This window comes from Homo sapiens, chromosome 1 (assembly GCF_000001405.40).
Source record: "Homo sapiens chromosome 1, GRCh38.p14 Primary Assembly".
NCBI lineage: Eukaryota > Metazoa > Chordata > Mammalia > Primates > Hominidae > Homo > Homo sapiens.
In genome coordinates, this window is record NC_000001.11 from 191,767,559 (window position 1) to 191,795,099 (window position 27,541).

At 34.5% G+C, this 27,541-nt stretch overlaps 1 long non-coding RNA gene across 1 annotated transcript in view; it reads left to right on the top strand.

Moving 5' to 3' along the window:
- The window catches only part of LINC02770 (long intergenic non-protein coding RNA 2770), a 278,575-nt gene that overhangs the window by 34,873 nt on the left and 216,161 nt on the right, over window positions 1-27,541 (top strand). Inside the window, exons 3-5 of the long non-coding RNA NR_186758.1 lie at window positions 838-884; window positions 3,583-3,711; window positions 13,459-13,558. This is a non-coding gene — a long non-coding RNA (long intergenic non-protein coding RNA 2770). The remainder of the gene's footprint in view (window positions 1-837; window positions 885-3,582; window positions 3,712-13,458; window positions 13,559-27,541) is intronic.

Here is a 27,541-nt window from a genome sequence, read left to right on the forward strand (position 1 = left end):
CTCAAATTTAAGACAAAGTGATAATTTCCCCTCAGTACTGTACAATACTGTTATGGTAGTCAAATCAGCTGTGTTGATAGTGCTGCTGAAATAATAGAGGTCATGGGGCTATAATTTTATCATTATGTTTACTAGAGCTGTGCCTCTGTTGAACAATCAACAGCTCTTCTTATAAATTGTGTTTGTTCTTTCCTTGTAAAAATCTTATCTTATACTGACAGACATGTTCTTTACATTTTTTATTTAATGAGAAAATGTATTTATCCTGTCTCTTATTTAATGGCTTAGTGCCCTAAAACAGCATAAGACTGAAAACCTCAAACAAAGTGTCGATGGTGCATAAACACTGTATTAGATAGAGTTCTTTAGAGACACATAAACTATAGGATATAGATGGATGATAGAAGATAGATATAGATAGATAGATATAGATGAATAGAAAGATAGATATGAGAGGGGATTTATGAGAGCAATTGGCTCATATGTGATTATGGAGGCTGTGTACAAGCAGGAGATGACTTAGAAAAGCTGGTAGTGTGACTCTTTCCAAACCCAAATGCTTGAGAACCCAAGTGGCTGCTGGAGTAAGTCCTGGACTCCAAAGGCCAGACAGCACATGGAGTTCTGATTTCCAAGGGCAAGTGAAGGAGACTGTATCTTAGCTCCAGAAGAGAGACCAGTTTGCCTTTCCTCTATTTTTGTTCTATCCAAGCCTCCAACCACTTGGATGTTGCTTGTCTGCATTCAAGGTGGATCTCTCTCACTTAGTGTACTCAAAGTCACACTCCAATCTTCTCTGGAAACATCCTCATGAATAATGTTTTACTTGTTCTCTAGGTATTCCTCAATCCAGTCATGTTGACACCTAAAATTAACCAAAACAGGTACTATACAAGATTTTTTCACTGTAATAGGTAAATATGTTGATTGAAGATGTATGGGAAATTGTAATCCTAAGATAATATGATTTTTGTCTATGTAGTATTTAAATAAATCTATTTGCCATTTCAATCTTAAGCAAATTTGCATTTCCAAAATTATTTAAGAAAAACATAGTAGAATCTCTCTGTATTTATATCTTGTGAAATTTTTCTACTAGAAATATAGATCAATATATAGATTTTTATATCTATAAGGAGGAGATATATATGAAATTATCCCTTGGTATCCATGGAAGATTGGTGGTTCTAGGATCTCCCTTGGATACCAAAATCTGAAGATGCTGAAGTTTCTTATATAATAAAATGGCATAATATTTGCATATAACCTATGCACATCCTTCCATATATTTAAAATAATCTCTAGATTACTTATAATACCTCATACTTTTAAATGCTATGTAAATAAGTGTCACATCATTATTATTACTTTTATTTATTTATTTTTTTTGAGACGGAGTCTCGCTCTGTCACCCAGGCTGGAGTGCAGTGGTGCAATCTCAGCTCACTGCAAGCTCCACCTCCCGAGTTCACGCCATTCTCCTGCCTCAGCCTCCCGAGTAGCTGGAACTACAGGCGCCCGCCACCATGCCTGGCTAATTTTTTTTTTTTTTTGTATTTTTAGTAGAGACGGGGTTTCACCTTGTTAGCCAGGATGGTGTCTATCTCCTGACTTTGTGACCCGCCCGCCTCAACCTCCCAAAGTGCTGGGATTACAGGCGTGAGCCACTGAGCCTGGCCGTGTTATATTATTTTTTATTTAAATTATTATTTTTGTGTATTCCTAGCTATCTTTTTTGAAATATTTTTAGTCTGTAGTAGGTTGAATTTGCAGACAGAGAATCCATGCATATGGAGGGTGGACTGTGTGAGTGTTTGTGTATGTATGCACACATACACATAAAATACATGGTCATACATGGTAAGAAAATACAGGTGTGCACATATATACATATATGTATCTATACATACTAATACTGTGCTTTTTTTTTTTTTTAAGTTGGGGGTCTCACTTTGTTTTCCAGGCCAGTCTCATACTCTTGGCCTCTAGCTATCCTACTGCCAGGGCCTTCCAACATGCTGGGATTACAGACATGAGCCACTGCATCCAGACTCATCTGTGACATTTTAATGATACTTCAGATTATCCATGCTTTTTTAACATAGAAATTTCTGAATTAAATAGTGAATCCGGTAGTAGATGAGTTATCTAAATCTCAAATTATCCTAAATAGATATTATGCAATCAAAGGTTAACTTGCTTACATAAATAATCAAGTAGTGAAAGTAAAATGAATTTAGCTATGTATCCGAATTTCCAAAAAAAAATAAAGATTCCCAAAGTTAAAGCAAAAAAAACCCTAAAAATAAAGAGAGTTACTATGTATTGATTTTAAAAAGTCAAATTATAATTAAGATTGATCATTAGAAATATGTGTACATTTAATAATAGAGCCTCAGAAAATGATAAAAATAATGTAAAAAGGTAAAACCACAATTACAGTGAGAAATTTCACATATTTCTGTCAGTAAATGATAGATTAAAAAAATAAAACAAGTAAATTTGAAGATAAGCCACAAAATCATTAAACTTTTTATGTGGGCCTTATTTAAAAGACTGCATCAAAAGCTTCAGAATGCAAATATTTTTCAAATTCATACAGAAAATATATTGAAAAATGAATAAAGAACTAGAGAATAATACTTATTTTACCTAATAAAGTATATCTATCATCCCATAAAATACTACAAATGGGACTCTTAATGGTAAAAAATGTTAAGTATTGTATATAAGAACAGGAACCATATATGAGTGCCCACTTTTCTTGAATGTTTTAGAATAGTAAAATGTTACAATAGTAAGGCAAGTTTTAAAATAAAACAAAAAGCTTGCTCAGTATTGAGGGAAAAAATATGGTTATTTATAGAAAAAAATGTTCTACAGTCTACATAAAATCTATAAATAATTAAAATATATGAGGTTAGCAAAGTTGTTAATTGTAAACTCAATGTATAGATACCAATTGTATTTCTTCACAACAATCGCAAACATTTCAAAATTGAAACTTTAGAAAGAACATTTATGTAACATCAAAATATAAAAAGCATATAGGAATAAATTCAATGAAAATGTTTTTCTTAAAAAAAGATAAATTGTTTTTAAGCATATTAATGAAGGCAAATGTAAAAGAAGAAATATTCAATGTTCATGATATGAAAGACTAAATCATAAATATGCAAATTTTCCCCAAACTGATCAAATTTCACCTACTACTTATTCTCTTTTTTTTAATTTTATTTGATTTGGAAACTTGACAGGCTTGTTATAGATTGTATATAAAAGTACAAAATTTCAAGAATAGGCATGACACATTTGAAGAACCAAGAGGGAGGAATTGCTATATTATATAAAAATATAGAGTTGAAAATTACAGAATTTAATATATCATTGTATTTCCAGAAGATACATAGAACAAGGAAACAGGATGGAGAACCCCCAAACAGCCATGCATGTATCAACACGAGATAAATGAGAACAATTGCAGGTTATTATGAGAAACATTAAGATTGCTATGACAACTGGCTTCTGCATTTTTAAAAATTGACCATTTTGGTTATTTTTCTATTTATACCCTCATAACAGTTCTCTGGCCTTCTCTATCTTTTGGTCGCCTGGGAAAGCTAACTTTATGAACTCTCTTACATAAACTTCCTTGGCCTTTGGCTTCTGATTAGGTTCAGCTAATGACAAAGACCAGTAAAAGATCAAAAGGTAAGAGACAAAGACCTAAATGTATTTTCCTGAGCAGCAATGGCTTTATTGCCTCAGCAATGTCACATCTCTGAGAGCACAATGTCTGCTCCCTGTCCCCTTTTGTTTTACTCTCGTGAATACCCATCTCTTTCAGATTACAGGTGGCAATGACTTCACACAAACTGCTGAAATCTGCATGCCAATATCTTTCTTATTTCTTTCTTTAACTCTATTCACACTTCTGTAAAAAGGCTCCTAATTAAACCCTTTCCCAAATCCAGAACCTGACTGCGTTTTTCTGAAATTTGACAGCTGAAAGACTTAAGCCTCACTTCTCTCTTTCTCTTGTGTCTCTTACCTGGAAAAGCTAATAAGAAAACCTAGGTGCTTCCTCCTTTGTTACTGGCAGGAATTCAAACCATAAAAGACTGGCCCATGTGTGAAAAATCTTACTCCAGCTCCACCCCGACCACAGAAAAAACTCCAAGCCAGTTTTTTTTCCTACTTTCTGAAGTCATTTCAGACCTCTTTGGGATACCTTTCTTGTTCTTCCCACAAACCTCGTTGTGCAAGTCAGATATTTTTATATCCTCTTGTTATATATGTGGTATTATCAGTCTCAAATTCTAAACCAAATTTTTGGCTCGGGGTTTATCTTGACTTGGCAAAGTTGTCACAAGAAGTGGCACTATGAACAGGATTCCTAGATAATGGTCACCATCACTGAGGATGTTATTTTCTTGCTTTGACTTGCTAACTGCCTCTTCTTGATGGTTGTTAGCTTGATCTTACCTGATGGCAAGCATGTACTTGGAGCTACTACCTGCTGGCTAGCTTGTCCTTTGAGCTGTGCAGCTTTGTGTTTTGTTGTTGAGTCCTACTGAGCCTCTGTTATAGATTTAGCTGACCTAAGTCAGAAATTTCTATATTTGGTATTTAAAGACAAATAGGATTAGAGCCCTTCTTAAAGTGGCTTTGGGTCATGTGTCTCAGTCTGGACCTATCTCTATAATTTAAAATGAGGTCATGACTGATACTATGCTCAGGAGAATGATTGTGATCAACTGATTATATATCTTAACCAAGCATTGACCCTTGATCTATATAGCACTGAAAGGAAAGACACACAGTGGGAGATATGGACCCATCAGGTTGTCGCTTCTGAAAGAGAACTCATTAGGAAGTTAATGAAAAAAAAAAAGGAACAAAAGAAAAGGAAAATAAAACAGCTATTACGTGGTGTGCTAAAGTCCCCACTTCTAAGAGCAAGGGACTCACCAGGATTCTTACATATCTGCTGATGTTGCCATGCTTCTGCTGTGACAAACACCCTGACTCTCTCAGTTACAGAAAAAAAACATGCATAGCATCCCCATGGCACAGCAAAGGAGATGATCCAATCCCAATTATAATCCAGGATCATTAAACTCTATAAAGCAATCATTTTCATGGAGGAGTTTGTTAAACTGATGATATGAATTTGATACTTTCAGGAGGAAGAAATTTATAAGTATGAGCATGGTGGAGTGCCCTTCCACACAGAAATACAACCAGTGACTAAAAATAAATAAATATTTAAAAAGAAAGACAAAAAGGAAACAGATATAAAGGAAAGAAACAAAACTAAAAAAAAAAACTGAATGAAGTTCCACAATATGATCTAATTAGAAATCCAACATTTATTACAAGAATTTATACAACAGAAATGATGGGATAGAAGTCATCTGTTTATATCCCCTCATAACAAGAATTCTTTACCTATCCACAAAAAAAGAATCTCTTTCTAGAAGCCTCAGGACTCAGGGAGGAACCTGTGGAACCCAGGTGTAGCCCATGACCTAAAAGGGTCATTTTGAGAGTGAAGACCTGCACCCAGGTGGCAGACCTGCAAATTGTGCTACTAGCTCAAGCCTAGAAATAACCAGAGTCCCCAAAAGGCTGCCTTCAGACCTTTATGACCTTGAACCTGCAACTAAAACCATCTGTCAAGGGACTAAGGAGAAATCATGCACACTAGTGCCTTGGTAGAGAGGATTGTCTGCCTACTGACATTTGTCTTGGCAGTGAATCTGGAAGTCACCCTGTGGCTTGCTTAAGTACCCTTAGCTATTGTACCAGGCTAGTACTGCTTACACAAAAACCCAGAGTAAGACCTTCCTGTATCTTGCAACCTGGGTGTTTCCTATTTGTCTGAGCTTTGACGATGGGCTTGCCAAACTCCATTTCATAGTAAATCCTAAGGGGACCCAATTTCAGCTCAGGACCTTTTTGCTGCAGTCAGAAAACTATGCAGAAAACTTCTGGGAGATGTGTCCCTATCAGGGCTACCAGGGCAGACTCACCAGTCTTCATCCCACAGAAGATCCTGAAGTTCCCAGTTCAGTCTCCAGCTCCTCTCAATGAACTCTAGAAACTGTCCCACCTGTGCAGGGAACTGACAGGAGGCATGACCATCAGGGCCACTGATCCCTGCCTAGCTTTCCCACATAGCCTGGGTACCCCCTCCCCCTGGGTCTTCTGCAACTCCATCATGGATTAGGCATCCTGACAACTTAACAACTCTTGCAAGACTCATGGCAAACCTGGGCTTATGACACCCTCGAGTACTAAAACAGCTGCAGCAGTCATAGCTTAAGGAGCATATTCTGCTGAGAATTTCTGGGCAGGCCTGCAGAGGAAAGACAGGCACAAACAAGGCTAGACTGAGAAGATTGGAATAAAAGCTCAATTATTTAACGTGAAGACATTGACATATGTCCACAGGCATCAAAAACAAACAGGAAAATATGACTCAACAGAAGAAAAATATAAGATATCAGTGACTGACCCTAAAGGGATGGAGATGTGTAATTTGCCAGACAAAGAATTCAAAATATTTCTTTTAAAGAAGCTCAGTGAACTTCACAAAAACACTAATAAACAATTGAAGAAAGGTTATCAGATAAATTAATCAGAAAAGTTGAAATGATAATAAAAATAGCAATCCTAGAACTGAAAAATACAATGAATGAAATGAAGAAATGCAAGTGAGAACAACAGCAGAATTAAGCAGAGGAAAATATCTGTGAACTCAAGAGAGGGGAAAAAGGAATAAAGAAATGAGGAAAGCTTATGAGATTAGTAAGATGTCAAAAGAGCAAATGAATGTGTTATTGGAGTTTAAGACCCTTTCCTATAACACTTTCCTATTAGAGGGAATAGAGAAAGAAAAAAGAGTAGAAAGAAGTTCGTTTTTCTCTTTGTTTTTCTTAATAGAAGAAATCTTTACAGATTAGGAGAGAAATAGGAATATTCAGGTACAGGAAGGCCAACAGTCACCAATCAGATTCAATCCAGAAAAATACCCTAAGACATATAATCAAATTGTCAAAGACAAAGAGGATCCTAAAGGCATCATGAGAAAGGAAGCAAATAACTAATAACAGACTTCCAATATGTATAATAGTAGACTTCTCAACAGAAAACATACAGGGCAGGAAAGAGTGAATAATATATTTAAAGTGCTAAGGGTGATAAAAAGAAAACCCTGCCAACCAAAAATACTATACCCAGAAGAACAGCCCTTTAGAAATAGAAAGAGATACTTTCCCAGTAAAACAAAAACTGAGGGAATGTGTTAGCACTAGTACTGACTTATGAGAAATGCTAAAGGGAACTATTTAAGCTGAAAGAAAATGATGCTAATGAGTAACATGAAAACACCTATAGGCATAAAACTCACTAGTAAAAGTAAATATACTAGTGGAGCATGGTGGCCCACACCTATAATTCCAGCACTTTGGGAGGCCAAGGTAGAAGAATTGGTTAAGGCCAGGAGTTGGAGACCAGTCTGTGAAAAAGAGAGACTCCATCTTAAAAAAAAAAAAAAAAGCTAGCCTGGCATGATGACTTGCACCTGTATTCCTAGTTACTCAGGAGGCTGAGGTGGGAAGGTCACTTGAACCAGGAGTTTGAGGTTATAATGAGCTATGATTATATCACTGCACTCCAGCTTGGGTGACAGAGTGAAGCTCTGTCTCTTAAAGAAAAGTAAATACACAGTGAAATTCAGAATACACTAATGATATGATGTTGGAGCATAAATCACTTAGATTCTTAGTATGATGGGTAAAAAAATAAACTATAAAAATAATAAGGATAAATAGGTAAGAGATATGCAATATAAAAAGATGAAAATTGTGATATCAATAATTCAAAATAGGTAGGGAGTATAGTTAACACATGGAGGATTTTTTGTATGAATTGTTTTATGCAATCAATATTAAGTGGTTATCTGCTTAATGTAACCTGTTATAAGATGTTTTATGTAAGCCTCAAATTAACCGCAAAAGAGAAACCTACAATTGATATAATAAGAATTTAAAAGCAAGGAATTTGTACAAACTACTAGAGAAAATCACTTAACTTTAAAAGAAGACAATAATAGAGGAAGAAAGAAAAATATACACAACAACTAGAAAATAACAAAATAGCAGCAATAAACTCATACCTAGAAGTAATTACCTTCAATGTAAATGCATTAAATTATCCAATTAAAAGACCTGGAGTGGGCCAGCCACGGTGGCTCACACATCAAATCCCAGAACTTTGGGAGCCTGAGGCGGGTGGATCACTTGAGGTCAGGAGTCTGACACCAGCCTGGCCAACGTGGTGAAACCTTGTCTCTACTAAAAATACAAAAAATAGCCAGGCATGATGGTGGCACCTGTAATCCTAGCTACTCGGGAGGCTGAGGCAGGTGTATTGTTTGCACCAAGGAGGTGGAGGTTGCAGTGAGCTGAAAGTGCACCACTGCACTTCAGCCTGGGCAACAAAGTGAGACTCTGCCTTAAAAAAAAAAAAAAAAAAAAAAAAAAAAAAAAGACACGTGGAGTGGCTAAATAAATGATAAATAAACACTTTGTTCTACCTTCCAGAGACTCATTTCACCTGTATAAACACACATAGAATGAAAGTGAAGGATAGAAAAAGATATTTCAAATAAACCAAAACCAAAAGAGCAGGAGTAGCTATACCTATATCAAATCAAATAGATGTTAATGTAAAAGCTGTAATAAAAAAGACAAAGAAGGTCATTATATAATAAGAAAGGAGTAAAATCTTCAAGATTTATAATATCAGTAAGAGCATGTTGTAAATATATATGCACCCAACATCAGTGAATCTAACTATATAAAGCAAATATGAAGGAGAGATAGACTGCAACGAAATAATAGTAGGAGACTTCAACATCCCACTTTCAGCAATAAACAGATTATTTAGACAGGAAATCAACAAAAACACATAGGATTTAAACTGTACTCTAGACTAAGTAAACCTAACAGACAGTTACAGAATATTTCTCCAAACAACTGCTGAATACCCTTCCTTCTAACGAGCACAAGGAACATTCTCTAGGATAGATTATATGGTAGGCCACAAAACAAGTTTTAAAAGATTTAAGAAGATTGAAATAATTTCAAACATCTTTTCTGACCACATTAATATAAAACTAAAAATAAATTAAAAATCAACAACAGGAATAATTTTGGAAACTTCACAAATACCTGGAAAGTAAACAACATTGTTCTTAATGGCCAAATGGGTTATTAAGGAAATTAAGGGGAAAATTAAATATTTCTTGAAATAATAAAAAAGGGAGCTCAGCATACCAAACCCTATGGAATACTTCAAAAGTAAACTCTAAGGGAGAAGTTTATAGCAATAAACACTTATGTCAAAAAGGAAGATTTCAAATAAATAACCTATTGTTGCATCTCAGGAAATTAATAAGAAACAAGACAAACTAAACCCAAAATTGGTAGAAGGAAGGAAACAATAAAGATCCCAGCAGAAATAAACAAAATAGAGACTAGAAAAACAACTCAAAGATCAACTAAATAAATATTATTTATTTAAAGACAAATCTTGGCCTAGACTAAGAAAAAAAAGAGTAAAATCAAATATATAAAATCAGAAATAATAAAGTAGACATTACAGCTAGTACGACAGAAATACAAAGGATCATAAGAAACTATTCTGAACAATTATATGCAAACAAATTAGATAACCTAGAGGAATGGATACATTTTTGGACACATACAACTTACCAACATTAAACTATGAGGAAACAGAAAATCTGAACACACCAATAACAAGTAAGGAGATTGAATCAGTAGTAAAAATAAATAAATAAATAAATATCCCATCAAAGAAAATCTCAAGCTCTAATGGGTTCACTGCTAAATTCTATCAAACATTTAAAGAAGAACTGATATGAATCCTGATCAAAGTAATCCAAAAAATAGAGTAGGAGAGAATACTTCCAAACTCTTTCTACAAGGCCACTATTATCCTGATCCAAAAGCCAGACAATGAGACAACAAAAACAAGAAAACTACAGTTCAATATCCCTAATAAACAGAGATGCAAAAATTCTCAACAAAATACTAGCAAATCTAACTCAATAGCACATCCAAAGATAATTCACCATGAACAAGTGGTATTCATCCGAGGGTCGTAAGTATGTTTTGACATACGCAAATTAATAAATTGGTGTATCACCTTAACAGAATGAAAAACAAAAATGGTGTGATCATTTCAATAGATGCAGAAAAAGAATTTGACAAAATCCATTATCACTTTTTAATTGAAAACCTCCCAAAAAATTAGGTATAGAAGAAATGTATGTCAACACAATAAACTCCATATGTGACAACCCAATGGTTAACATCATACTGAATGAGGAAAAGCTGAAAGCTTTCCCTTCATGGTCTGGAACAAGGTAAGCATGCCCATTTTCACTATTTCTGTTCAACCTGCTACTGGAAGTTCTAGCCAGAGCAATTAAGCAACAGAAAGAAATAGAAGGCATTCAAATTGGAAAAAAATAATTAAACTCTTCCTGTTTGCAAACGATCTGATTTTATATATAGGAAACCCTAAAGACCACAAAAGAACACTGTTAGAACTAATAAACAAATTCAGAAAGGTTGCAGGATAGAAAAAAAAAAAGAATCTGTAGTGTTTTTATATGCTAATAGTGAACTATCTGAAAAAAAATCAAGAAAACAATGAAAACAATTCCATTTCAAATAGATACAAAAATACAACACTTAAAATGAATTTAAGCAAGGAGGTGAAAGATCTCTGCAGTAAAAACTAGAAAACATTGATGAAAGAAACTGAAGTAGACACAAATAAAGGTAAACATATCCTGTGTTCATGTATTGGCAGAATTACTATTGCTAAAATATATATACTATCCAAAGCAGTCTACAAATTTAATGCAGTCCCTATCAAAATATCAATAACATTCATCACAGAAATACAAAGAAAATTCTAAAATTTGTATGGAAACACAAAATACCTCAAGGAGTCAGCAATCTTGAGCAAAAAGAGCAAAGGTGGAGATATCACACTACCTGACCTTAAAATATCCTACAAAGTTGTAAGTAACCAAATCAGCATGATACTGGCATAAAAAAGACACACAGACAAATAGAACAGAATGAAACATCAATAAATAAACCCAAGCATTTACATCCCACTGATTTTCAACAAAAGTGCCAATAACACACATTAGAGAAAACCAAGCTCTTCAATAAATGGTGTTGGAAAAACTAAATATCCACTTGCAGAAGAATGAAATTAGATACATATCTTTCAACATATAAAAAATCAACTCTAAATATATCAAAGACCTAAATGTAAGATTGAAACTATAAAACTACCAGAAAACCTCAGGAAAAAAACTTCATGACCTTAGTCTGAGCAAGAATTTTTTTTTTTATGACACCTCAAAAACATAGGAAACAAAAGCAAAAATAAGCAAAAATAGACCAAAAAAAGAGAAAATAACTAACAGAGTAAAAATTAACATATGATAGAATATATTAATATTTACAAGCTATACATCTGATAAGGAGTTCATATCAAAAATATATAAGGGATTCAACTCACTAACAAAAACAAATAAATAACCTGATTTTAAAATGGACCAAAGACCTAAGTAAGCATTTCTCAAAAAGAGACATAATGGCCAAAAGGAGTATGAGAAAGTGCTTAAGAGCACTAGTTATCAGTGAAGTGCAAATCAAACCCACAATGAGAAACTGTCTCACTCCAGTTAAAATGTTGGTTATCAAAAATGACAAAAGATAACAAATGTTTTGAAGATGTGGAGAAAAGGAGGATGTGGAAAAAAGGGATCCTTGGTACCTTGTTGGTGGGAATTTAAATTAGTGAAATTAGCCAGCACAGAAAGACAAATAGTACATGATCTCCCTGTATAAGTCCTTTTTTATGCTGCTGATAAAGTCATACCCGAGACTGGGCAATTTACAAAAAAAAAGAGGTCTAATTGGACTTACAGTTCCACATGTCTGAGGAGGCCTCACAATCATGGCAGAAGGCAAGGAGGAGCAACTTACACCTTACGTGGGTGGCAGCAGGCCAAGAGAGAGCTTGTGCAGAGACACTCCCATTTTTAAAACCATCAGATCTCATGAGACTCATTCACTATCACCAGAACTGTGCAGGAAAGACCCACCCCCATAATTCAATCACCTCCCACTGGATTCCTCCCATGACATGCGGAAGCTGTGGGAGTTACCATTCAAGGTGAGATTTGGGTGGGGACACAGCCAAACCATACCACTCCCTCATATATGGAATCTAAAAAGTTGATCTCATAGAAGTTGAGAGTAGAATAATGGTTACCAGAGGCTGGATATGGGATAGAGGGGATAGGGAGAAGTCGGTCAATGGGTACAATCTACAATTAGATAGGGGAAATAAGTTCTGGATTTTTATTGCACAGTTGGGTGAATATATTTACCAATAATGTGTATTTCAAAATAACTAGAAGAGAGGCTTTTGAATGTTCTCATCATGAAGAAATCATAAATGTTAAATAAATATGTAATGGGTATATGAATTACTCTAATTTAATTATTACACAATGAATACATGTATTGAAACATCATATTAGACCCCATAAATATGTATAATTTTTATGTGTCAATCAGCAATAAAATAAATCTTAAAAAATTTTATACAACAAAAAGATAAAAGATCACTGTTGGTTGCAGGCTTTTTCTCCCTTATAATGTAGGTTGTAGATTTAATGTCAAAATCTGTTGAAGTGCATCAACTTGCAAACCTTCATGGACTTAATCAATACACTGGGGCTAGAATTACAGTTATACCTAGGGACTCCATAAACTTAAACAACGTAATGCCTATTAATCTTAGCGGAGTTGCAGCATATAAAATAGAGGAAAAATAGCTATGCCTTACCTGAACTACTCCCTTGCCTGAGTTCTCCATGGTCATATCACCTATTGCCCTTAAATATCCCATAGTGGATATAAACACTGTGATCCAATGAGTAATAAAGTGAAAATAAATTAAGTCTTTGGATCTTATAAATTGGCATGACAAAATGGGATCCAGGGATAATTCCCTAAATTAAAAAAGTTAATATGCCCAAAGTAAATTAAAACAGGGCTTTCAAGAATTGAATTTTATTATATAAAGCCCAGATAAAGAAGGAGTAATTGTTCCCCCTACTGCTGCTATATTTAACAATCCAATTGGCTTATTCTTAATCTTGGAAATAATCAATGATACTTCGTTGTGGATTACTGAAATCTTAATACTAGTCTTCTACCTATTAAGGCCCTCATATTCAATATTGTGTAAATTACTAACTCAATCTACCTGTTAAATATGTTGCTATTATTGATTTGGCTAATATGCTCTGTTCAATGTCTGTGTCAACAGCCTCTCAGCAGCAGATTGCTTTCACCTCTGAAGGGACGCAGCATACATTTACGTCTGAGGTACCTGAACAACCTTGCTCAACTGCACACAGTCTTTTCAGGTAAGAATTTAACTTCATGGAGTTCTCTCCAGGAGCACAGGTATGACATTACACTGAAGACATCTTCCTCCAAAAACATTCATTTGGCATTTTCATTCAGGATACATATATACTTATAAAGAAGTATGTAAAATGGGGATGAGCCATTGTCCCACACATAGTGCAAGACCTCCGCCTAGGGTAAATTTCTGAAAGTTGTTTGGTAAACCAAGAGTGACTCCATGCTAACAGTGTCAGGAAACAGTTACTGATCCTCTTAGCACCCACAGTGGTAAAACAGGGCCCTGAATTTTTAAGGTTTTTTGGGTTCTAGAGGCAACATGTTCCCCATTTACACTGTTGCTTGCAAATTGTCCCACCTTGAAACTTGAATGGACTCCTTCCAACAAAGGGCTCTAGAATCTATCTAAATTGTGATATAACAGACCATCCCTCTAGTGCCCCCCAGAGACTCCTTGCCACAGAGGCATAGCGTCTGCTGTTATGGATTGCAAACACACATTTATGGCCATAAGTTGTCCATATATTTCTTATTCAATAAACTACCCTCATTGATTCTGCATTGTACAGCATTGGAGTGGCAATCCCTGGCCACACACTGAGCTCTCTCCTGGCATAAGAGGATATTACAGGTTCTGAGACAATGCCCCTTCATACTGAGTTGTCCATTATGTTTGGATTCATGGAAGCAGCACCCTACAAGCTCAGCATGGCTCCTGACACCTCCTTGCTACCAGTTATACCTAATCCTGAGCCTTCCAGCATTTCTCACCTGTAAGAAGGGGTGGCCTCCCCTATTCTGAGTCTCTTGTTAGATGCTGTGGTTCTAGAAAAGGACATCTCTTTCCCAGTTTACTTAGCTACGTAGGTAACTGTTTGGGATTAACTGCCTGTACAACAATAGGAATTTGCATACTTTAAGGACGGAAGTGCCATCATGATGGGGCTTGCTAGATAGCTATTGCTTTTCATTCCTTAACAGGGATGTCCCTGATAAAAGACAGCACCCAAGGCTCAGCACAATTCGCCAAACTTCAGACGGAAGTCTTAGTACTGGATGTCCTGGCCAATGTACAAATCAGCTTCATTTGTACATTGTTACAGAGTAAAAGAGTAAAGAATTCTGGAAATTTCTTGCCCCATAGATACTCAAATAATAAATCAAAGTAACATGTCTTTGCATATACTGAGAACACAATACAAGCCATCACCAGGACACCCCTTATATACTTTATCATTCCAGACATTATTGATAGTGGCCATGTCACTCATTTCACTTATCAAAATATGCAACGCTGGGCTCCTGAACAAGCCATTCAACAGAACTTTCGTCTTCATTATAGGCTAGAGGTTGCAGGCTTCATAGAGCATATATTTGCTTATTTAAATAAGTTTAAATTTAATTAAATAAATTATGGCTTACTTTAGTCATCAGCCAGCATTAGGAGAGAATAGTAATAAGGCATCTTAATAAATTTCTTGGTTTTTGATTGCTGATCCATTTTATGCCTCATTCTCCTCCTCTTCCCCTTGTGTTTTTCAGATTTCCTTAAATGAGTAAATGTGTAAATGGGTTGTAGCAAATGCAACTCGAGTAAATTGATATATACTACTTCCAGGGTTAGCCCTTAAAAACTTGTCACATTTGATTCTCCTTGGTCTTCCCCTTACTTCGCCTGGTGTGAACAAGTATGTTGACATTGAAAATAAATTTTTGAAGATAGCAGAATAACAAAATTGAAAGTTTCTGGGTTTCATATATAATTGCTTGGAGAAGAGTCATCACCAGCCAGAAACACTTGTAGCTCATGAGTAAGGAATTAATGTTATAGCTTTCATCCATTAGATATGTTAGGATTTGCTTGTTATGGCAGCTAGCATCATCTTAAAAATGCACTGCATCACTTAATTTATATGAAACTTAAAAAAAATCAAATCAAAGTAACTTACTATTTTTGCAATAGTTGTATAGGTGATCAATTATAAAGAAATCAAAGGCATGATTAACACAAATTTCAGGATTTTTGTTACCTATGTCAGGTAGAGAGAGGGATGTGACTAAATAGTAGCACTTAGGCTATTCATTTTATTTCTATTTAAACTGCATGCCTATAGCAGAAACAGTTGATGTGCCAAGTCAGAGGTTTTAGGCTTCATGAATGGGCCCCCATCATTTAGGATGTAGCACACATTTTACATCAATGACAATACTATGCTCTTTTTTCCACAAAAGTAGAATACATGGAGCTTAGAACCTAAGCAATATAAGGAAGAGTGGCCTAACTTACTATCAGTCTCAGTGACCAATTTAAAGGATTTCTACTGCTCATTTTTGTAACTTTGAACTCTATTTAGAAGTCTTGTCTTGTAGTAGGTGAAACAGTGGATTTTTATTGTCAATATGATGTATAGATACCATTATATAATGCAGACAGGAAAGACCTGAATCTTATCATGAGTAGGGTATAGTTGTCTGGGTCTAATCAGGAGATAGAAGCTACATAGTACGTTAAGCAGAATAATTTTAATATGTATTATTAACTTTGATAAAAGATTAACTACAAGGTATAAGGAAACTATGATATCCCAGAGTTCAGAGAGAATAATCAAAAAAGAACAATCATAGTAGGGCCTCTGATCTTATTGGATAGTGCACCAGATAGCAGAATGTTTCTCTGATTTGACCAGATCAGAGCTAGTCATGAGTTGTATAAGTAATAGGCCACCCTCCACAATGCAAATGGAAGAGTAGGTGATTAACACCTGGTGGCATGCGTGTGCAGTAGAAGTCTGGGTGCTGGTGGAGAGAGGAAGCCTTTAGAGCATGCAGGTCATGTAGGGGCTTGCAGATAGACTTCAGGTGCTGGCCAGGGCAGGAGGCCTTCAGATCGCATGGATCACACAGGGACTTTGGTTTCTGTGTCAAAAGAGCTACAGATAATTTACTGCCAGGCCAAGGCTGCAAGGTTGAAGAGGGAAAATATTCTATGTGAATTGCTTTGGTCAGAAAGAATGGCTGCCCTTATATCCCTACCATCTATCCCTAGCCAGCACTGGGCACAGTAGGAGAGCCCCTTCCTTCTGCAAATCCCTTTGGATCACTCTCCTAAGAAAGCTTAACATTGTTCTTTCTTTAAGGAAGAAATACTTAAAATAATTAATTGGTTTATCATACAGTATACATTAAAGAGTGTATTAGGGATGAAAGGCAATACACTGATAATTGAAACACAAAGTTTCTGACCCTTCAGGGATGAGGGTCTGTTTGGGTTACCCCACTGATCAAGCAGCAATACTATCCAATGGTGAGAAGAAACAGGAATACGGAGTAAAAAAAATGGTGAATATCAGTTGCGATTATGAGACCTAGTTGCAAAGTTAGGCATTGGCTATATTTTTTCATTAATCATCATTATATTAGACACCACCCCTCAGAATCCTAAAAGAACTGTTCCCTGAAATTATGTGAGCCAAGTGCAACTAAGAGGTCCAGTGGTTGGATTGTAGGGGATACTATGGTTACTCATCCCCTTCCCCTCCTTCAGGACTAAAGCATTCATTTCCCCAGCTGACAAGAGTGTTAATAATTGACATATCATTGCTGAGTATTCCTTTGGAGATTTCCTTCAATTGAAGAAGCCACCTCATGCAATGTCATGTCTTATTCTCAAGAGCAGCTCATGTCCAGTGACTGTTGATGAGACTTATTAAGGTCCAGCCCCCTTTGCCAAATTTGGGACAACACTGGTGGTTTATCACAGCTACAGTTTCCCTCGCTGGGTTGGCTGCACTTTTTGCTGTGACTGAATTGCCACCAAACACCTCCCTCAGCCTAATGTTGATTCTTTTAATCTATACAATGTGTATCCTCAAAGCAATCCACGATATAATTTCTGCATGTTGATTTCTGTTTCAAAGTTGGCTTCATAGAAAATCAATTTAGGTCAAGTCTTTGCAAATTACATTTTGTCACAGAATCCCCAAATTGATTAATGTAAATATCCAAAAAAGCACCTGAAAAACCAAAAATTATTACACAATGATGTTTTGTCACAGACATTCTCTGAACTTTAAAAAAAGGAAAACTAGAAAATGAAAAGAAAACACCATAGAAGCCCTTTACAAGTTTTTACCTTACTCATTGCAAACATCAAATGCTGTATTTTTGAGGACAAGGAGTCTATACGTAATGACATACATTAAATAAACAAGAAACTCAGTATTTGGTATAAAAATAAAATGGTTAGATTTCAGATTGCCTGTTACTTGAAAATAAATCTCCTAATGCTGAGTTAATATTAACTCTCTCTTAAATACTGAGTACTAGTAAAGGCACTACTAATTATTGGCTCTGAGGTTGTTACTGTTCATCTGTTACATGCTTCCTATGTAGGATGCTTATGAAAGAGTTTGGAAAATACAGTAGCACCATTTAGTTACAATATGATGTACTTTAGGTCTTGAGGTGGCCACCTCTTTTTAATACAGGATCCACCAAAGAGAGTATGTTTTAGAAAGCATTTTGCTTTTTACTGTATTTAATTTTTATTGATAAATAAAAAATTATACATTTTTATGGTCTACCTCATGGTGTTCTGATATATGTATGCATTGTGGAAAGACTAAGTCAAACTAATTAGCATGTCCATTTTGCTTTCTTAAATTTTTAAATAATATTCCACAACATATAACTTTAAACATTTTTGTCTCTCTACAAATGTCTTTAATTCATACTATTTTTTGAAAACTATATTAAAGTTCATCTAAGAAATCCACTTGCCTAAAAATCCCCACAAAATATTGTGATCAAAATTAAGTAAACATTACCTCATGAAATAAGACAATAAATACACCAAAAAATACACCAAGAAACATTAGTGTTAAGGAAGATCACATGGTTTGAATTCCCTGCCAGCACCAAAGGAAACCAATTGAGTTTTCTTCTCAGTTCTCCCGGATGTGGGGCAGCAAGGAAGGGTAAATACTAGGGCTTGAAAGCCATTGGCAATAATAAAAATGGAGTCACACACTTTAATATTCTCCTCCACCAAATAAAAACTCATAATCTTACCAAACCGAAATAATAACTCTTTTAGACATGCACTATATAACACATTTACAGATATGAAGTACTTTGTTTGTTTCTAATTCCAACAAAATCAAACCTTCCTTAAACTTTGACTTTTCTCCAAATCAATTTTATTCCTTTTAATTGGAATAACATCTTCTGCTATACTTTTATTAGTAACAGCTTTATTAGTTTAAAAATATGTACTTAACATTCAACACCCGAGAAAAATTTCAAAGGACAATGCTTGCATATATTTTTCTAAGAAAATAACCTTCTGATAAAAAAAGAACTATGGTTAAAAAAAATGAAATCTGAAGCAGTACTCTAGAATCCAACAGTTCAAAATAAGTAACCTAAAGATTTATCTGACTTCAACACATTAATGCAGGAGAATGTCAGGGAATATCAGATTCAAAGAAGGCATATTTCTGGTTATTGATAGAGGACAATGAGTTTACCTTCAAGACTTTAATTCTTGTCTGTGAATCTATACAGATGAGCCCAACCCAATTTAGAGTTCAACATACACAGCATGCAATTACCTTCTGAGCATCAAATCCCAAATAACTTTTGAATTTCATACCTGTCAGCATCTGTACTTGGTGTTTTATGAGAAACATTAAGATTTTACATTTGAAAAGTGATTCATATAAGCGATTTTGAAGATGTTTTTATTTTTCAGTAAAAAGGGAAAAAGCTCTCTACTTAGAACTTTTTAAAAAAGTAATTATTGACTTAGGACAGAGACTAATGTTTATTTACTGTTTTGAAACTATTCTTCCCACTAAATTAACCCTACGTGACTCAACAACAGTATCAGAAATAAAACAACTTGGCACTATAGGTTTGTACGTATAAATGAAGGGTAAAATATATTTGATAAATTATGATCCAAAGCATGTTTCTCTCAATGAAGTAAAATAAAACATTTCAAAGCTAAGCGATTGATCCAGGTAGGATTTCTTTGAAAAAAGTCAAGGAAAGGGAATGTTAAGCTCTCTATACTATGTAAACTCCAGGAGGAAATTTCTCTTTTTTTTTATTTCTCCTCCTCGTCTTCTCCTCATTAGACAGAGCATTGCCAAATTGGTAATCAATAGTATATTAACAAATGATTAATGAGAAATAGATGTTTCACAAATGAGATCACAATCTCTATTATTGGAAGCTGCAGGAGAATCAAACAGAATCAACATGAATAAGAGGAGACGATGACATTTGATATATTTCTTTCTAGTCAAAAATTAGCATTCAGTTATAACTTGAAAATACAGGTTCAGGAGATATGTCCAATTAGATATTTGTGGAAAGGAGTTTGAATATGAGTCAGGATAAAATTATTTTACTGAGTAGTTGAGAATGGTACAGTTTATTCGTAGATGAAATCATCTAGTGTTGTGTGAAAAACGTGGAATGGTAAACTGGTAACAGGAGAGATACGGTGACTTAACTGAATAGTGCAGCCCTTCTGTACATTTCCATATTATCCTGCTATCTAATCTGTACTTAATGAGCCTCCTGAGCATCTCCAAAGTTCATGACTTTGTATTAGAAGCTGCAGTAAAGAAGCACCACAATGAAAACCATGTAGTGTCACAATCACTGGCTTAATAATTTAGTTTAAAACATAAAACGTGTTCACAAAGAGCTACAACAGAAGGCAGAGAAACGTTTCCACCTGCAGAGAGAAACCAGTGTCCAAAAGAGATGTAAATCTATACAGAAATATTATTATTCTCAACAATATTCCAAGTTATACAATACTACTGTTTTAAGCTTTAACATAGTGAGTGTTCTGGAAAATCTTTTAGAGTTCATATTTGTAACAAAAACAGTCTGTGAAAGAATCCTGTTAATGGTATTTAATATTTTGATATTATTTATAAATTAAACAGAATATTTTTTCATTAATAATGGAAAACACAGAAAAAGGTGTTTCTATACAACTTAAAACAAATGGCACAAAGGGATGCATGGATGCATTTGTAATTATATATTATGAATTCTAAGTTTTAAAGATATGACTTTACACTCAAATGTTAGCTATTAGCTTACTTAAAAATTAATCAAATAGTATTAATAATCTAACCAATTTCTAGCCTTAATATTTTCTATAGAAAAAATTGATCCCTTTATTAGAATCCCTGCCATCATCTGGCTTCTAACATTACATATGTATCGTCATTTTTCACACCCTTTACTTAATAAAACTATCATTCATTTAGATTACTGCTGATTCCAACATGTCATGTTTATCTACTTCTATGCCTTTTTTGGTACATACACTTTGATATGATTAAAATACCCTGCCTCTTTATAATCTGAAAAAATTATACTTATCCTTTACAAAACCTACTTCAGATGCCATGTATACATACCAGGAGTTCCAATCCTTCATTAGAAAATTCTTCACTGTTCTTTTCTATATAGGCTTTGTTTTGTTAATTCTGCTAGTGTAGCTCTAAGCTTCCTAAATGGTGGGTAGTTTATTATGCTTTTCTCTAAGAGAACGGATAGATTTGTATTCATATTTATATTATTAGACTTTCATTGAACCTGACATGCAATTTATATGTTTAGTGAATTTTAGTCATATGTAACTTTTCAAATATAAACACACCCTTTATCCTCTTGGTAAAATGCTCTGTCAGGAGGTTGGCTGTGCTGGGAGAAAGATCTGGGCTGCCAGGTGTTGGAGTTATCCAATTAAAACAGCAAGCCCTAAATGAAACATTTAAGCCTGTAATCACTTTCTGTAATGGTATAAGCAAGAGTCCAATCTGGAGAAAGCACTAACTCCCCATGTTCCATCTCTTGCCATGTAACTGCTGCTACCTGGAGGGTGGAGGGGTCAGGTAGATTAGTGCAGAGTTTGCGGTCATCTGACTGTTGAAGAAGCTTGAAACAAAAGGTTCCAATCACTTTTTGGACCATGAGGTTGGGGGTGGATGATGAGTGTAATGGAGGAAGGCCTGTGAGTGGAAAAGTATTGGGTACTGAGTCACTGAGTCAGAGTGGGGAAAGGTGTCTTCAAGGTATCCTTTTTCTTTTCCATAAGGAAGCCCTGGCAGAGGAGCCTGAAGAGACCTCTGCTTAAAGCCTCAGATAAAAAGGCTTAGAAATGAAGGCACCAGGCTAGGAATGCAAATATGGGAAGAGTTTGGCCAATGGGCCTGAATCTTTGATTCCAACTTCCTTCAGAGACCAGAATGCATTAGCTGTGCAATAGGTCTGTTGCAGAGAGTGCAGCTTTCCCCTTGAGGCTTGCCAGGTAAAGCTTTGTAATTGATTATGATTGGGCCTGAAAGATCACACATAGGTTTTTAATCAGGAGCTGGATTTCTATGCCCTTATTCATATATTCAGCTAATGTTACACATGTTATTAAAAGATTTTTGCAGTTTTCTGAAGGAGTAATAAACTTTAATAAACACTTAAAAAATTTAAAAGAACTGACAATACTAAGTGCTGGTGAGAATGCACAGTAACAGAAACCCTTTCATATGGACATTACCACCATTTTAATAACTGACAGCTTCTACTAAAATTGAACCAATTCATATGTCATATATACTTAAATGAAAACATTTTCTAAAGTGTATATTAAATTCAGTCATGATTTTGATTCTTTTTCATATTAACTGCTACAGAAAAATAGACTAAGTTACTTAGGCAAGAGATAGACAATACAGAGGTAGAACATAGTAAGAGTATACTGGTAAGAATAATATGCTGTGAGAAGAAACAAGCTATATACAAGAAATAAAGAAAAAAGGCATCATAAATGTGTATAAAATAGAAAATATTTGGATAAGAGATGGAAATCACAGATAACAGTTGTCTTTGTTGAGAATAGAGACATATTAATTGAAAGTGGAATGAAAGGAGAGAAAAATTATACAATTGACCATTTACACATACATAATAATAGCATGTTGGGATTTTATGAGTTTAGAAGGATGTCATTTATTTACTTTTCCATAATTGTTTAGGAAATGGAAAATCACCCAATAAAAACAGTATTTTAAATTATAGTTTTATATATTAAAAATATAATTTGTATATTTTATCAAAATATGTTACTTTTTGTGTGAAAGTAATAAAAAGTTCTAAATAATTATGATGAATATTTGCTCAGCTATATAAAAAAACCTGATTTTTATTGAGATAAATACATTTTAAAGTGATACTAAACTTGGTAACATTGATGCAATAGTCCTTTATGTTTAACCTGCTATTCCTCAAGTTAATTTAAGTATAAGGGAATGGGAAAAAGCGGGCAGGAAATGACATTTATATGTCTTTGCCATGATTTCTTACAAGTCCTTCCCACAAATTCCAGCATTTGGAATTCCTCTAATAAAAACTGGAGTTCAATTTTTATTGAGAAAACTGAAAGCATTTTCTACCTTTTTCTATGGAACCGTGTGTTTCACTACAGGATAGAATGATTGTCAAATTGAGAAAGAGTAGAAGAGAAAACTGTTCAATGGGAGAATAACCTGATGACTGGTGCACTAATGTGCAAATGCTTTGGAAACGGAGATACTTTGACACCAAAGTTCTTATTCTGACTTCTTTCTTAGCTCACTTGGTCATTAAAAGCATAGAAACTGTAATCTCTTGAACAACTACTTCAACAGAGAGTATAACCACATGAATCGTTCAAGTAAGACATCATAAAATAGCAATATAAGCATAAGAGGCCTTCAGCTTTCTCTAGAATGTCTTGTCCCACATCCCCTCATTAGCAATAAGGCCAGCAAGGAAAGACTATTAAATGGTACAATCTGGCCCTTTATTCTCCCATAGATGAACTAGTAGAAAAAATTGAGCTGAAGTTTGTGGGTTCATAATGTGCTATGGGAATAGTTATTTGTCACACATCTGTCATGGAAGAGTTGTTCCTTTAAGAACCATTTAGTCTATAATTGCAACCACATTCAGCTCAATTCCTTCAAGGCAGTCACTGATCACTGGAAATAAGTCAGCACTTCTGGAGTGGCATTAACTCTTTGGCCATCATGGCCATTTTATGCATGAGCATTAACAGTTCACTAAATAGGATCCTAGTGTTCCAAAAAAACCAAGAGGGAATGCACTGGAAAGAAATAGTTGTCTTAGTTCATTTAGTGTTGCTATAACAGAATACCTGAGGCTGGATAATTTATTTTTATAAAGAAGTTTATTTGGGTAATGATTCTGGTGACTGGAAAGTTCAAGATTTGGCAGTTGCATTTGGCAAAATCCTCAGGCTGCTTCAACTTATGATAGAAAGTGGAAAGGGAGCAGGTGTATGCAAAGAGATTACGTGCCAAGAGAGGAAATAAGAGAGAGAAACTGAGGAAGCCAGACTCTTAATAACCTACTCTCATGGGAACTAATTCATTCTTGCAAGAAGAGCACTCACTCACCTCTATATGTGGGTATTAATTTATTCATAAAGGATCTGCCCCCATGACTCAAACACTTCTCACTAAGTCCCACTCAACACCACTACATGGTAGATCAAATTTCAACATAGTTTTGGTGGGAATAAATCACATCCAAACCATAGCACTAATAAAAAATATCTTACTCTACTTTAAAAATATATATTTGTCAATTGTGAAATAAAAATAATTTTTGAAAGAAAATTTATTTAATTAAAAGGAAGATATTGTCTCTATATAAACATATTTTCTTAGCTCTTACAAATTATTTTAATCATATTTTTATAATTTTTATTTTCTATTTGCTTTGTTAAGACAAACATTAAATTTGAACAGAAATGAAAATCTACAACTATTAAATATATGAAATCTGCATTGATTCATGAACAGATTATCCACAATGTGTGACAAACAAATACTTCATACACTTATACAATACTACATTTTATTGGAAGCCTTAGAGTCTATGAGTACTCTGGGTAAGCAGGTATAGGAAGATTTCCAATGGCAGTTCTTTTCAGAATTTTTCCTGGTTCCTTACTAGTGAATTCACTTCTTAGGACTTTGTTGTACTGAATTTCAACCCATTGAGAACAACAAGCATGGATTATCAAGTTCTGTTTTGTCTCTTAGTTTAGCCACTTTTAGATTTTGAACAGCTGCCTGTGATTATCATTTTCTACCCCTCCTCTTTCCACTAAAATTCTGAGCTGATAATGAACATTTTAATTATTCTACAAGATTATTTTTTCTTAGAGAAACATTTTAACCTGCTTAATTTCTTAAAGTATTTCTAGTTTATGTTTTTATATTATTATTAAATATTTAAAAATTTTGATTCTCTTTCCAACATTTTATCTTTTTTTGTATTTCATTTATTTTTATTTTTGTTCAGACTGGATAGGCATAAAATATTTGATGTCCTAATTACCTATTTTTATATCTTTCATATGCTTCTTTAAACAAAATTTATTTTTCTCCTAGTTTCTTTGTGGATTTAGCATCCCTTATTCTAAGGCTTTGATTTACATTATTTTAAGTAGATTTTATATTATTGTGATTATATTAATTCATTAAATTTTTATTTAAACTTTTTTTATCTTTTACTTTCAATTATGTATTTATTTACAACCCAGTTCAAAAACGGGCGCAGGCCTTTTGTTTAGCAAACATACAAAAAGATGTTCAACATTACTAATCATTAGGAAAATGCAAATAAAAAACACAAGCAATGCAAATCAAAACCACAATAAGATACCATCTTATACCCATTAGAATGGCTACTATTAAAAAACAAGAGAGAGCAGCAAATGCTGGTCAGGATGTGGAGATATTGAAATCCCTGTACATTGTTGGTGGGAATGTAAAATGCTAAAACAGTTTAGTCGTTTCTCTAAAAATTAAAAATGGAATTACCATCTGATTCAGCAATCCTCTTCTGAGTATATATCCAAATGATTTGAAAGCAGTCCTGAAGTGATATTTGTACAACCATGCTCATAACAGCATATTCACCATAGCCAAGAGGTGGAAGCAGCCCATGTCCATAAACAGATGAATGTGTTAAAAAATTCATATATACATACAATGTAATACTATTTGCCTTAAAAATAAATAAAGTTCTGACACCTGCTACAACATAGATGAACTTGAGGACATTATATTAAGTGAAATAAGTCAATTACAAAAGAAAAATGCTATGTAATTCACTTACATAAAATGTCTAGAGTAGTCAATATCACAGAAACGAAAGTAGAATAGTAGTTGCCAGGGGCTGAGGAAAAGGGGACATGAGAAGTTAGTGTTTAAAAGGCATAGATTTCAGTTTTGTAATATGAAACAGTTCTGGAGATTGGTTGCAGAACAATGTGAGTATATGTAACTCTACTGAACTGTACACTTAAAAATAGTTAAGATGATCAATGTTTCTGTTATGTGCATTTTGTCATAATTTTTAAAATAATTAAAATATTTTTATAAATTTTAAAGAATATGGTAGGAATTAATTCAACCATATTCATAATGATTTTAAATTAGAACAATTTAAAAGTAACAGTTAAAAGACACATGTTGTCAGAGTGGCTTAAACATAAACAAGACAAAAATATATGTTGTTTATAAAAATTCTACTTTAAGTATAAAAACTCGGATTAAAAGTGAAGGGACAGAAAAACATACACTATGCTAACATTAATAAAAAAAATTGAGGTAGCTATATTAATTGCAGCTGGGACTGCAGGCGCCCGCCACTACACCCAGCTAATTCTTTTTGTATTTTTAGTAGAGATGGGGTTTCACCATGTTAGCCAGGATAGTCTGGATCTCCTGACATCGTGATCTGCCCGCATTGGCCTCCCATAGTGCTGGGATTACAGGCGTGAGCCAACGCGCCCGGCCTTACTTTTTAATTTTTTTGTTTGTTTGTTTTAACTCTCCAAAGTGACAATGGAAACTTCTACTTTTCTAAAAAAAAATTAAGGATATGCTCCCAACTCCGCATTTTGGCTCTTGCTTTTTGATATAAGATAGATATTCTCGCATTTTGCAGTACTCCATAATATTTCATTATGATTCCCTCTGAATGTGTGCAGAGGGTGGCATTTAAGAATCATGAAGGCCGGGCGCCGTGGCTCACGCCTGTAATCCCAGCACTTTGGGAGGCCGAAGCGGGCGGATAACGAGGTCAGGAGATCGAGACCATTCTGGCTAACATGGTGAAACCCTGTCTCTACTAAACATACAAAAAATTAGCCGGGCGAGGTGGCGGGCGCCTGTAGTCCCAGCTACTAGGGAGGCTGAGGCAGGAGAATGGCGTGAACCCCGGGGGGCGGAGCCTGCAGTGAGCCGAGATGGCGCCACTGCACTGCAGCCTGGGTGAAAGAGCGAGACTCTGTCTCAAAAAAAAAAAAAAAAAAAAAAAAAGCAGCATGAAAACACACAGGGACTTCAATTTATTAGCAAATAAAGGTGCTATCTATTTTCTTCAGAAGATACATAAAGATAGTGGGGGCAGAGTAGCCTCCAAGTAGACAAGTCATGAAAAGTTAATTGGGCTTTAAATATATGAACACAATGAAAAATCACATGCAGTTTTAAAAGCATAACAAACCAACTAAAAGCATAATATTTTGCAATAACTTAGATAAATTCAAGACATTAACACATAAGTTGGAACAGAAATTTTCTGATTTTGTTCCTCTTTGAGATTCTTTCCAAAATTTTATACTACATGGTGATGTACAGTGAAACTAATGATTGCTTACAAAATAAATTTAGGAAGAAAAAGCAAATTTATCAATATTTCAGATGAATAATAATTATAATAAAGCTTAGTAGAATCAATTTTTGCTAGAAATTTCCTGCAAAAAATCTGCTCTAAGACCTTAATTTGTCAAAATTAGCACATTGTGAAAATAAAATCTCTAAACTAATAAATATACTTCACTAATGTTTATTCAAAAATAACATTTGGAAATTAAA